The following is a 14009-nucleotide window of genomic DNA, read 5'->3' on the forward strand; positions in this document are numbered from 1 at the left end:
CTGTCCCAGCAGCAATAGCCTGCTAATCTTTTAGCCACTAATCTTTTAGGCACTAATCTGCTTTCCAAACTCTTGGCACCTGAACTATTTATAGCAGTGTTTTATGCCCCCCCACCAAGAACCCTATTCTTTTCCCATGACCCCCACCAATCAAAACACTCAGAGGACTGTGGGTATAAGAGGCTGGGGAGGCAGGCATAGCAACCAGAGCTGGAGACTGATGTGAACTTCATCTCTCTCCCCAGGTAATATTCCAAAGCCCTCTACTTCTAGCCCATACTAAGCCCTATATCCCTTGCTCTTAGCATCCCTCTTAATATATCAGGCAGCAGTTGAGGGACACCCTTCCTGACATAGCCTATAGACATTCAGGCCTAGAGACCCTCCAAAGACCTCTGGAAGCTCCCCTAAGCTCACCCCCTGGGCCAGGCTCAGTAAGCATCAAAGGAAAGCACTAGAGAGACATCTCCCTCTCTCTAAGGATTCCCATCCAAAGGCCTAGCCCCTGGGGACCTGGATGGGGATAAGGATGGGAAAATCTAGGAAAGGCAATGAGAGGGATGAGTTGGTTCAAGGAGGACTTTCAACCTCCATAGAGACTTCTGTCACCAAAAACTGAGAGCATGAAGGCACCAACCCCTTCTCTCTCACACTTTTCTCCCTTCTTTGTTGAGAGTCAAGGGCATCATGAGGTGAACTCAGGTTCAGGATCCATTGCAGGAGCAGAAGGAGACAGAATCCATTGATTTGTCCATTCATTCATTCATTCATTCATTCATTCATGTATCCAACAAACATGTCTTGGCACCTAGTGTGTGCCAGGGGATGTCTAGCCTCATACAGACCAAGAAACACATTTTTCTCACACTTTTCTGGATGGAAGCCTCTGTCCAGCCTCTTTCCAGAGAAGTTCCTTCTCTCTCAGGGTTCTCAAGAGTTCCCCAGCCATTCTAGGAAGTTTGGCCCTTTCTGGAGAATACATAGTATGGTTAGTCAATGATTTGTACAAAATAGGAAGGTTTTTTTCCCCTCTTGCCCAAGATGGGCAAGAATATGGCTGAAGAAGTACCCTTGGCAGAAGGGAGAATAGGAGGTACTTGATGTGGGTGAGGTGTCTGTCTAAGGAGGAAAGGTTACATCACACTAGGTGTATATGGATGGTATGCTGGAGTGGGGTGAGAAGAATAGAAATGAAATGATTGAGCCTTTCTTCTTTCCCTTTTCCCAGAAAAGGCTCAACATCAACTATATAGCCAACATGTCCAAGTAAGAATTCCTTCTAATCCTCTGAACCTGTGAATTGCTCCCTACCCCAATCCAAGTATTTCCCTTTGGGGTAGGGGGATTTCCAATTTCTCCCTAACTTGTGTCCTTGGATTCTACCCCAATTATCCCTACCTTTGCCCCATCCTATGCTCCTGGAGCCTCTTCTCCTAATCCTAAGAATATTTCTTTTTCTCCCCAATTCCCTTATTTCCTCTTCCCTGCACTTCCAATCCCCCTCTCCATCCTCTTTCTGGTTTTCTCCTCATAGGGTGTTTAAGAAGACCAGCTCCAATGGGAAGGTGAGAGAACCTGGCCCAGCTGGGCAAATGAGAGGGCAAAAGGGATAGGTGGGTACATCCTTCAAGGTCTCAGGGGTCTGGGTTGGGGGTTTCAGGGGAATCCATTCAAAAATGATTGTGAGAATAACATGGGAAGTTGTTCCACAACAGCTCTCCATCTACCTGGGGAAACGGGACTTCGTGGACCATGTGGACACGGTGGAACCCATTGGTCAGTGAGTCCAAAAAAGGGAAGCCTGGGGAAAGAGGAATGGAAACTAGGGAGTAAAAGAAAGTCCAGGAAAGACCGTGCAGAAAAGGAGGCAAATTAAAGGGAAGAATAGGAAGAACCATTTCAGGGATCATCCTCTGTTTCATAGTCTGAGAGTTTTTCCTGACCAAAGTGCTGTCTGTCCTTCTCTCCACAGACGGTGTTGTCCTGGTTGATCCTGAGTACTTAAAATGTCGAAAGTGTAAGTGGAAATCCTTGTTGGTCTTTGTATGTTTCAGACAGGTAACCCGATGAGTGGATTGCACCAGAGTACAACAAAACCAGAAAGTGGCAGGAACTGCGAATGCCTTCTCTGGTGGAGGCTGACAACTGGGAATTCCAGCCCAGTGTGGCCAAATTTTCTAATTGTTAATGAGGAGCTGTAAACGAAGCTCAAAATAAGACTTTTAGAGGCCCAAAGTGTGAAAAGATTATGGTGCCCCCTTACCCAAATAATATTCAAAGTAAATATCTAAAGCATAAATTAAATTTTATTTTTCAAAATTACACAAAACTTACACTTGTGCTGAAATTAAAATAGCTTCTTTCAGAATTTCAGATTTTCTCTATTATTACTGGTGGTGCCCCTGCTTGGCTATTGATCTGGATCTTAGACTGCCTATAGAATGATCCAGTAAGTCAGAAATCCATATTTTAAGGCAAATTTCCTGATTTTCAAATGTCAGCAACTCACTAAAAGACTTTAGAAGCCTGGATAGATTATAAACTTTTTTTTTTTTTCTGTTGGCTAGATGTGACTTTCAGGCTGTCATTTTGTAACCTCTGGTATACGTCTTTCCATCTCCTTTTTTTGTGTAGGGAAACTGGCTGACCTTTTATTCAAGAAAAAAAAATCCCAAACAAAGAAACAAAACAACAACCATAGGAAGTAACACTAAGAAACATTACTCTGGCAGCAGTATTACAGATCAAGATTATGCTGATTTTTTTTTTTTGCTGCTTTTTTTCCTTTTAATTCTCACTATGGATTAACCCCACTGTGATCCAACTAGACTGAAAATTGGGTTTGATTTGAAAAAGGCTCTGAATGGGTTGATGAATACTAGTTCAGATGTAACTGTTAGATATTGGAGAATAAAGTAGCCTAAATCTCTCAGATTAAGCAGTGTAAATAAGCAATCAAATCGGTTTTAAGTATCAGAGGAACTTTGGGATAGACTCATAAATTAACCAACTTATTTAAGGTTCCCAAGTATTCTATATTTCTAAAACCTAAATCATTTTTTCACATTTCTACAAAATCTTCACAAGCTATGGAAAGAAATCTTTAGTTAAAAATATATGTTGTTCCAGGAAGAGATGCATTTTTCCTTTTATTCTAATCTTCTTTTATGTCCCCTTAGTAGAGTTTTATATTACTTTTCATTTAAGTTGTGCATATTTCTTGTTTATTCTTAGTTTTTCAATATGGTTTGTTACCTCTGTGAAGATTGTCTTGTTTGCATCATATTTTCTAATGTGTTTTTCTATCAAGGTACATTTGTGGATGTAAAATATGCTTACCCTATACTGTGGAGTGATAAAGGCCAGTGATAGGGCAGTATATGTGGTGGTGTGAACGAATTGTTGTTTAACAAAAATCTATCTGGAATCTCTCTCTGTATTATTTCTTACAACTGCATGTGACTCTACAATGATCTCAAAATACAAAGTTTAACTTCAAAAAGGCAATGAGAGAAAAGTAAAAAATACCTAAGGTGGCCTTGTGTTCAATTATAGCAACAGACAAAGTTGAGAAGCACACATAACAGGTATTAACAGTAGTTATCTGTGGAACATGATATATTATGGTGGAGCTTTGATTTGTCTTTTTGTTTGTATTTTCTGATGTTCAGACAATTAACATATATTTTGTAGAATAAACACAACTATACATTAATAACTTTAAAATAGATACTGACTTTAAAAGAAAATAAAAACAAGCTATTTCCTAGCATGCAAAAAAAAGGACGATTCTAAACTGCTAGAGAGCCAATTAGAGCTTCAGTTGGGGGTAGGAGTTGCGTGATGCAGTTGATGTCTTAGTCTGCTGCCTTCCCAACACAGGAACAGAAAGCGATTCCAAGAACAAGTCATCTGATTAACGTCCTTACCTCAGGTGCTACTAGATCCCCTTCTGCCTCGCCCATCCTGACCTTTTTTTCTGTCTCATTCCTCATCTTTTTCATTTCTTCTCTCACCCTGCCTCCTACCAGCCACCTCTTTTCCTCTCCTTTTTACTTTCTGTCTTTTTCCTTTCCTTTGTGCCTTATTTTCCTTTCTTTCTCTCTCCTTTCTCTCACTATAATTGGCCATAATTGAGAACCAAGGTGAATCTATTTGCTGTATCTTTGAAAATTATTAGGTTTGTCTCCATTGTAGAAAAATTAGAAAACATAGATGAAGGAGAGACTGTGTAACCTTACCATCTTTAATCACTAATCTTTTGATCTTATTTATTCATATTTTCTGTGCAAACATATCTATATTTTCACTAAAAATGCTATACTAAAAATAATATTTTACATTTTTTAAACCTATGTCAATATACACAAATCTATAACTTTTTAAGTTGCCTAGTACTATATCATATGGGGATACCACAACGCCCTGTAATGCACATCCTTTTCATACTTGTTCAATTATTTCTTTCTAAGTGCCTAGAAGAGGAATTAATGGCCAAAAGGCATTCACACATTTTTAAAGCTTTCTATACCTATTGTCAAATTGCCCTCTAAAATGCTTATACCAATTAAATCTCACTCCTGCAGTGCATGAGTCTTCTCATATTGCCCCAGTCCTTATAAACACTGATATTATCAATACTTTCAGGCTTTGCTATATCTTTTGAATATAGGTTCATTTTTCTCATTCTCAATTTTAAAAGCAAATAATCTGGTGTTTGATGTTTTGAGTTCTTAAAAATACTAAAATAAGTTGCTTTCTACTCAAGTGCTGCTGTTGGTAGTTTTTATTTTTTCTTTGGGTCAGAGCCCCTGATAGAAATAAGGTTATCCATTCCTGTTCTACATCTTTCCTTGCCTCAACCTCTGTCACCCTGTACTTGGACAGGTATCCCTCTCTACTCCATTCTATATTCCATTAGCGCATTTCAGATGATTTCTATCCGCCTCTCACTTGATTTCTTTCAAATCTTAGATACCTGTTACAAAGTATGAGTTCAATTATAACTCTTCCATTTCTGTCAATATCATCATCATCACCATCATCATCCACATCTATAATTATTTTGAAGTTTCCGAAAGGATTCCTTTTTTTTTTTTTTTTTTTTTTTTTGAGATGGAGACTTGCTCTGTCGCCCAGGCTGGAGTGCAGTGGTGCGATGTCAGCTCACAGCAACCTCCACCTCCTGGGTTCAAGCGATTCTCCTGCCTCAGCCTCCTGAGTAGCTAGGATTACAGGTGCCCACCACCACGCCCGGTTAATTTTTGTGTTTTTAGTAAAGACAGGGTTTCACCATGTGGGCCAGGCTGGACTCGAACTCCTGACCTCAGCCTATCCACCCGCCTGGGCCTCCCAAAGTGCTGGGATTACAGGCGTGAGCCACTGTGCCCGGCCTCCAAAGGGATTTCGAATACATCAGCTCCTCACAACTGTCCTATGAGTTAAGTTGAGCACCTATGAGCCTGAGCTTTGGAGTCAGACAGGCCTGGGTTGAAATCCTGAACCATTGCTTAATAGCTCTGAGCTCACTTTCTTTGCCTCTAAAGTGGAGATAATAATACTTCAGAGGGTTGTTTTGAGGTCTAAATGGCATATGTAGGGTTACTAGAGCAGTCCTATTATTGACAGGTGTAATAACTGAGACCCAGAGAAATCAAGGGATTTGTGCAAGTCCTATTCAAGTCCAGGTATTCTGACCCTAAATATTATTGTTTCTCTTTTTCATGATAAAATATTTATCAAGGCATACAGAATTATATAATGAATACCCTGTACTCATCACCAAGCTTTAAAAAGAATTACAGAAACAAACTAAAGCCTCCTGTGTGTCCTTCCCTGATCCAGTTTGCCTCCCTCCCTCCCTACTTAACCCTTCTCCTCTTTCTCTCCTCCCTCCCCAGATAACGACTACCCTGAATTTGGTGTTTATTATTCTCTTGATGGCTCCATACTTCTACTCCATATTTATGTGTCTATGATCAACTTTGATATTGTCCTACATGCTTTTAAACTTTATATAACCGGTAACATACTGTACCTATCATTCTGCAGCTAGATTTTTTGTTCAGTAGCTTTTTTTTTTTTTTTTTTCTGAGACAGAGACTCACTCTGTCACCCCCACTGGAGGGCAGTGGTGCAATCTCAGCTCACTGCAACCTCCGCCTCCCGAGTTCAAGCGATTCTCCTGCCTCAGCCTCCTGAGTAGCTGGAATTACAGGTGTATGCCACCATGCCCAGCTAATTTTTGTATTTTAGTAGAGACGGGTTATCACCATGTTGGCCAGGCTGGTCTCGAACTCCTGTCCTCAAGCGATCTGTCCACCTAGGCCTCCCAAAGAGCTGGGATTACAGGCGTGAGCTACCACGCCCAGCCTTGTTCAATAGCTTTTGAGATTTAACCTTGTTGGCACAGGTCTTAGTCTGTTTGTGCTGCCACAGCAAAATACCTGAGACTAGGTAATTTATAAAGAACAGATATTTATTTTCTCACAATTCTGAAAGCTGGGAAGTCTAAGATCAAGGCTCTAGCAGGTTCTGTTGTCTGATGACGGCTGCTCTCTGCTTCCAAGATGGTGCCTTATTGCTGCATCCTCCAGAGGGGAGAAACATTGTGTCCTCACATGGTGGAAGGTGGAAGGGCAAAAGGTCTCCTTTATAAGGGTCTTAATCCCATTCATAAAGGAATTCATGAACAAAGAAGCCCCATGATCTAATCACCTCTTAATGGCCATCTTAATACCATCACAATGACCATCAAGTTTCAACTCCTGAGTTATGGAGAGGCCACATACAAACCATAGGGCATTCTTTGAAGTTCTAGCTCATTTATTTTAACCTTGGTTTAGTATTCCATTATGTGAATATACCACAAATTTTTTATCCATTCTCCTGTTGATAGATTTTTAGATTATCTCCAGTTTTATGTTCTGACAAACGTTGATGCGACGGCCATTATCATATGTATCTCTCCTGAACAAAAGCTCCTTTAAAGTCAACTTATTAGCTCATACTCTACGAGCAGATTTAATTTTACTGGATAATCCCAAATAGTCTTCCAAATTGGTTGCATTAATACTCCCACCAGCAGTATGTAAGAACTCCTTTTGCTCCACATCTTCATCAACACGTAGTGTTGTCACATTTAAAATTTTTTGACAATCTCATGGGTGTGAAATCTTATCTCGTTGTGGTTTTAATTTGCATTTATCTGATTACTCACGAGACTAAACATGTTTTCATATGTTATTGGCCATTCCTTCACACACTTTGCACACTTCTGCAAGGGCCTATTCACATTCTTTGCACAGTTTTATACTGGCATTATTGTTGATGTGTGGGAGTCCTTATATATTTTGGACTCTAAACTTCAGTGTGTTATATGTGTTGCAAAGATTTTCTCCCAGGCTTTCCATTTTTTTCTTTGTTTATAAAGACTTTGAATATAAAGAAGACTTTATAAAGACTTTTAACATAAATTTTACTGCAGTCAAATGTATTAAGAATCTTTTCATTTGTGCCCATAGCCTTCAATCTTTTTTTTTTTTTTTTTTTTTTTTTTTTGAGACAGAGTCTTGCTCTGTTGCCCAGGCTGGAGGGCAGTGACACGATCTCGGCTCACTGCAAGCTCTGCCTCCTGGGTTCACGCCATTCTCCTGCCTCAGCCTCCCAAGTAGCTGGGACTACAGGCGCCCACTACCACCAAGCCAGGCTAATACTTTGTATTTTTTTTTTAGTAGAGATGGGGTTTCACTGTGTTAGCCAGGGTGGTTTCTATCTCCTGACCTCGTGATCCACCCACCTCGGCCTCCCAAAGTGCTGGGATTACAGGCGTGAGCCACCGCGCCCAGCCAGCCTTCGATCATATTACATCACCTCTCTGTGTCTTCTTGACCCAGTTAAGATTCCCCTTCCCACTCAGGCCTGACAGACCACTCTCTTCCTCCTATGCCTGCAGTGTTTGTCATGTTGACATGTGCCTTTCGCTATGGCCGTGATGACTTGGAAGTGATTGGTCTGACGTTCCGAAAAGATCTGTATGTGCAGACCCTGCAAGTGGTCCCAGCTGAATCCAGCAGCCCTCAGGGGCCCCTCACAGTCCTACAGGAGCGACTACTGCACAAGCTAGGGGACAATGCCTACCCCTTTACCCTGCAGGTACTGACCCCAAGCCCTGGGCAGGCAAGGTCTCCAGGGAAGATTAAGAGAGGAAGCTCAAGAAGGACAACAAGGGAGAGGGTTCCCCATTTCTTTTGTATTTGTTTGTATTCTTTTCTACTTCTTTTCTGATCTCCTTTTTGTCCCCTAGATGGTGACCAACCTGCCCTGTTCTGTGACACTGCAGCCAGGTCCTGAAGATGCAGGAAAGGTGAGGACTGGGTTCTAAGAAAGAGGGATAGGTAGTGCCAGGGAAGAGGAACAGTGGGACAGTCAAGACTGGAGAAATGGACAGCTAAGGAAAGAGGTCAGGCATTTTCTTATAGGCCCATGAGGAAGGGAGGACAGCACTGGAAATGAGCTCTCTTTGCCCTTGTCCCTTTACAGCCCTGTGGGATTGACTTTGAAGTGAAGAGTTTCTGTGCTGAAAACCCAGAGGAGACAGTCTCCAAGAGGTATTCTTTGGTTGTCCCCAAAAATCCCTGCCTCCAGCCTCTGCCAGGAAACAGATCCTGCTCTCATGACAGAAATAGCCCCACTTCTAACCTCCACAGCCTCATCGCCACCAGTGACACCCGGTTCTGAGTCCCCTCTGACTTACCTTCTTTGATCTAGGGCAGGGGTCAGCAAACTTTTCTGTAATGGGCCAAAAAAAGAAATATTTGGCTTTTTGAGCCCTATAGTCTCCGTTGCAACTACTCAACTCTGCCGTTGTAGTGCAATCGCAGCCACAGATAGTATAGAAATGAATGAGTGTGGCTGTGTGTCCAATAGAACTTTACTTATGGACACTGAAATTTGAATTTCATGTAATGTCCACATGTCACAAAATAGCATTGTTCTTTGATTTATTTCAACCATTTACAAATGTAATATAACCATTCTCAGCTTGTGGGCCATAGGAAAACAGGCATCAGGCCAGATTTGGCCAGTGGGCCATAGTTTAATAACCTTTGGTCTACATGCTTACATTAAGGGACTAGAGGAGTTCTCTGAGGGAGGCCTTCCCCTGCTCCCATTCTTAAGCAACAATTGGACTATGGGGGTGGCATGGGAGAGGTCTGTGGGTCTGAAAGGAGGACGCTCTGGCTAATCTCTTGGTCTCTGCTCAGAGACTATGTGCGGCTGGTTGTCCGGAAAGTACAATTTGCACCACCGGAGGCAGGCCCTGGCCCCTCAGCCCAGACCATCCGCCGCTTCCTTCTGTCAGCTCAGCCCCTACAACTCCAGGCCTGGATGGACAGGGAGGTTTGTGACCCCCACTTTTTGCCTCCCACCCCAGAACCCCTCTGATGCCCTTTCTTCACTGATTTCCTACTTGGGCAGGCAGAGATGGGAGCCAGGGTGGCAATAGCGCTAAGGAAGCAGGGGTTCTAGGTCTCCATCTGCGTATTCGTCCTCCAGCCTTGACATGGGTCCCCGCTCCTGCTTTAGGTTCACTACCACGGAGAACCCATCTCTGTCAATGTTTCTATCAACAACTGCACCAACAAGGTCATCAAAAAAATCAAGATTTCAGGTGAGTTTCTTTTCCCATCCCTGTGCACCTGGTCCCAAAGCCACAGGTCTTTTCCCAAAATTCTATCTCACTTACCTGTCTGCATTCATCTAGGCTTTCCCTCTAACATGGGCTTGTCAAAATGCATATCTTGTTTTGTCAATGAGCATGTCTCACTGCATCATGTATAGTGTGCCTATGTATAAGGTCACATCTAAGGACACTGAGCTGGGGTCTCAAGGATGACTGACTGATTATAATCATGTGCTTTTCCTGGCTTGTTCAGTTGACCAGATCACAGATGTTGTCCTGTATTCACTAGACAAGTACACCAAGACTGTGTTCATTCAGGAATTCACGTGAGCTGGTGCTGGGGCTAGGACCAGAGAGCCAAGGGGTGGGGTGGTGGGAAGAGGTCCAGGAGGCAGTTGAGGGGGTAGAGTGGGGGAGAAGAGTGGTGGAAGATTCCAGGGAGGGATTCCCAGGAGAACTAGATGGAGGGGATGCAACTTACCCCCAGGAGTCCCATCACGATGCTGAGCGAGGGCAGGGGCATAAGGATTTCCCACCAGAACTAATTTCTCCCAGTCTTCAGTTAAACATGTTACCTCTCTTGGATACTCCAGTAGGTTCTTGTATAATCTTGTACAAGATACTCTTGGGAGTAAAAGTATGCTTAGTCAGCAAGCCCAGCCTAAATTCTTCTCTTGTTCTTCTTTTGTAGGGAGACTGTAGCTGCTAATTCCAGCTTCTCCCAGAGCTTTGCAGTAACCCCAATCCTGGCTGCCAGCTGCCAGAAACGGGGCCTGGCACTGGATGGCAAACTTAAGCATGAAGATACCAACCTGGCCTCTAGCACAATGTAAGCTCAAATATAACTCTCAGCCTCCATTTCCTACCCCTCAACCATTCCACATGCTACATTTACAGCTCTGAGGTTTCATGTTCAGTAAAGCCTACCTGTTTTTTAAAGTGTCTCTAGGGCAGTGTTCAGAGACTCCTCCAGGCCTAAAGGCCTGCAGCAAGCTCAATAATGCCTGTGGGACCAACGGCAGGCTTAGGTCAGCGGCAGAAAAAAAGGAAAACATGGAGAGGAAAACAATCCTTATGTTGTATAAGATTTCACAGTTCACAAAGGTCCGACATATGTACTATGCTATCTTTGTGAGAATCCCACTAAAGTAGCCTGGACAGGTGTTCTTATTCCCTTTTACACTTAAGGACCCTGAGGCTCAGAGAGAAGAAGGAACTCACTTAAAGTGGCATAGCTGATAAGTGGTAGATGTAGACAGGATTATATCACATGTCATCTGGCTCTGAATACTGTGATCTCTACAGAAGCTACTCTCTAGAAAAAATAAAGATGGAGTAGAAGACTAGGAGATGAGAAATGGAGGAAAAGGAGGACAAAAAAGGAAAATGATGCAACAGGAATTAATAGAATTCTAGGAAGTCATTCACTTGGTCCTGTGCCTTCGGAGGCCCTAGTGTTAGATGTGTCTTCCACCAAAAACCACCTGCCACCATCTGTCAAGTGTAATCCCTCCATCTCTCCATACGTCTTTTCAATCAAGTAGCTATAGACTGTTATTGCTAGAAATACCCTTAGAAATCATCCAAACTGCATTATTTTATATGTAAGAGATCAGCAGCCCAGAGCAATGAAGAGATTTTCTCAAGCTCATGCAGCTTTCGCTGTCTTATTTTTCAATCAGTGGGTTTTTTACTGAACCCCTATTACATGCTCTTTCCTATGCTAAGCAATGTGGAGAATATAAAGAAGTTTAAGACAGTCTCTGCCTTCAGTCAATTTATGGCCTAGATGAGGAACGAAGAGAGATGCAAATACAACCCAACAGTTAAATGTTAGTACACGTGGTTCAGAGTAAATCGCAACAAAGTTAAAAGAAGCCAGGAGAGCTGGTGAGGGCTTCCTGGAGGAGGTAGAATGAGCTAGATCTTGAAGAATGTGAAGGATCTGGATACCAACAGAGGAAAAAAAGGAGCACTGTAGACTAGGGACACAGCATGGGCAAAGGCTAGAAGGTGGGAATCCACATGGCATGTTCTGATCACGGAGAGAAGATGGGTCTGCTTAGGTTGTATCCCAGGAGTTAGGGGAGAAAAGGTTAGAGAGGCTAGATAGGGCAAGGTTGTTAGGGGTCTTGAAAGTCAGGCAGAGTAGTTGTTATATTCAAAAGGTAGGCTCTTGAGCAGAGAGTGACATGGTAAAAGTGAATGTCAGGAAGAGAAATGTGGTCTCAACGGGTAGGAAAGGTTAGAGCCTGGGAGATATTCTGGGATAAGACTAAACATAATAGGGTGTGGTGATAGGAATGCATGAGAAGAAACTGGGGACAGAATGAATTACTCTTCATGCCCCAAACACCCTAAAACGAATACTACAACCTCCAGTATTAGACCGGGAATGGACAAAGAGCTGCTGGGGATCCTGGTGTCCTACAAAGTCAGAGTCAACCTGATGGTGTCCTGTGGTGGGTAAGTGAGGGTTCTGGGTCTGTCTGGGCAGGGGCTGAAGAGTCAAGGGCTTTTCGCCTCTGTTTTTCTCCCAGTTAGATTGACCCAATCAAACCATTCCCCACCCTTTCTCCCAGACCAGGTTCCCAAACCTGTGAGCTCAGTGAGCAAGTCACTTTCCCTTCCAGAAACCCATTCTGTGGCTGGCTCATTAGGTCTTATGATCCCTCATCCCCTTGTGAAACTAGGTTGCCCCTTCTCTATTTCCCGCTGCTAATTTTGGGTGTCATTCTACCCACAGCATCCTAGGAGACCTGACAGCCAGGTGAGAGACTGTGGGGTGGGGGAACTTGGGCAAGAAGAGGAGGACAAGGGGATAAGGAGAGCAAAATAATGATTGATTCTGGAGGGTCTGAGGGCATCCAAAGACTGGAAAACTAAGGGAGGGAGGTTCAGGGATTGGGCTTGTAGAGAGAGGAGATGTAACTCCACCTTGGGATCCTTGCAGCGATGTTGGTGTGGAGCTACCCTTGGTCCTGATCCATCCGAAGCCATCTCATGGTGAGTGACCAGGTGGAACTCACAGGGACGGCTGTCCTGAGGGCTGGGGTCCAAACCATTCTGATCTCATGAATTGGAGACTAGCAGTTTGCCTGGGGATGGAATAGCAATAGGTAGGCTGGGTGTCTAGGTATTCAGGGGAAGTGTGTGTGTCGTGTGTGCTGGAGCAAAGGATTGGGAAGTTGGGGGGGGGGGAAGTAAAGATACTTCTTCAGGGAACCGAAGAGCCTCTAATCAGCTTCAGCTCCATTTTTTCCCTCCGTCTCCATGCTTGCTACAGAGGCCGCTAGGTAATGGAATACAAGATTGGGAAGCCCCATTCCCCTCTTCCCATTTCCACCCTCCATGTTATGACGATAGAAATGTGAAAATGCTTCCTTGGGGTGCTTTCAATACATGTGCAGTGGAAACATATGGCTTAGCTTCGTGTCACAGTTCGGTGCTTTTCATATGCCCTCCTTTCCCTTTCTGCATCCCCCCGCCCTCCACCTTCTGCTCTTGTTGGAATCATCCTTCCCCCTCATCCCCTTCCCATTTTTCTTTTTCCTTTTCCCCCACCCGCTCGCCCTTACTTCTTTCGTCTTTCATTCTTTGATACCTTCCCTCCTTCCCATCCCTCATCCTTATGTCCCTTTCAGTGCTCCTGGGGGACTTTTGTGCTGGGAAATTTGGGCGGGAATGAAAGGAAACAAGCCAGAGTGGCTGATGGAAAAGTGGGGACACCAAGAGGGGGCCGAGGAGCCTACCTGGGAAGCAGGGAGGGGATCACTTTTCTGGGATCAGGAAAAAAGAGTGGACACGGAGGACACCCAGAAAGGGGTTCCTAACCTTCCATTCTCTTCTGCTGCTTCTGCAAGCTCTGAGGACATAGTCATCGAGGAGTTTACGCGGAAAGGCGAGGAGGAGAGCCAGAAGGCTGTGGAGGCTGAGGGAGATGAGGGGAGCTGAGCACCTCGCTCTGGTGCCCGTCTGTGTGGGAGCCCCCACTGTAACACTCTAATAAATCAGTTTGTTCAGATGTGCCTAGCGATCTCTTGCCTATTTCCTCTTCCTGGAGGGTCACGGAACTACTGAGAACAATCTTCCCCACCTCCACCCCTTTGCTGTGATTACACTACACTTAGCCCGTGCTTTTCCCCATACGCTGACCCCAACTTCCCTCTGACACGGTCAGTGGCCATCCCTCTCTCCACCCCATGACCCCACTCGAGTGGTCATAGGATTGCGCTGAACACCAGGCGCAGTGCAAGCTGCCAGGAGGGGGCCGAGGGGGCGTGGCCATGCCCAGGCCTGGGTGTGAAGCCAATGGCCGTCAGCC

The 14009-nt window shown here is 44.1% G+C and overlaps 1 protein-coding gene across 2 annotated transcripts; it reads left to right on the plus strand.

The window, feature by feature from the left end:
* On the plus strand, positions 207–13756 carry ARR3 (arrestin 3). Of its 2 annotated transcripts, NM_004312.3 has the most exons (17): positions 207–245; positions 1229–1266; positions 1535–1565; positions 1716–1776; positions 1973–2017; positions 7955–8154; positions 8306–8365; positions 8542–8609; positions 9267–9402; positions 9589–9673; positions 9939–10011; positions 10377–10514; positions 12068–12151; positions 12432–12455; positions 12639–12691; positions 12972–12981; positions 13549–13713. In NM_004312.3, exons 2-17 carry the CDS (start codon positions 1259–1261, stop codon positions 13637–13639), a joined length of 1167 nt encoding a protein of 388 aa, NP_004303.2. In that variant the 5' UTR covers positions 207–245; positions 1229–1258; the 3' UTR covers positions 13640–13713. The 2 variants fall into 2 exon arrangements, with proteins under 2 accessions (NP_004303.2, XP_047298061.1); XM_047442105.1 differs by lacking the exon at positions 207–245 and having other exon boundaries at positions 1259–1266; positions 1949–2017; positions 13549–13756.

The sequence above is a fragment of the Homo sapiens genome, chromosome X (genome assembly GCF_000001405.40).
Source record: "Homo sapiens chromosome X, GRCh38.p14 Primary Assembly".
NCBI classification, from domain to species: Eukaryota; Metazoa; Chordata; class Mammalia; order Primates; family Hominidae; genus Homo; species Homo sapiens.

Bases quoted from the DNA above. Each gene is read 5' to 3' on its own strand.
- ARR3 (XM_047442105.1), top strand. The intron at 1,566-1,715 runs GTGAGAGAACCT...GTTCCACAACAG, and splicing joins AGACCAGCTCCAATGGGAAG to CTCTCCATCTACCTGGGGAA. The intron at 9,674-9,938 runs GTGAGTTTCTTT...TGGCTTGTTCAG, and splicing joins CAAAAAAATCAAGATTTCAG to TTGACCAGATCACAGATGTT.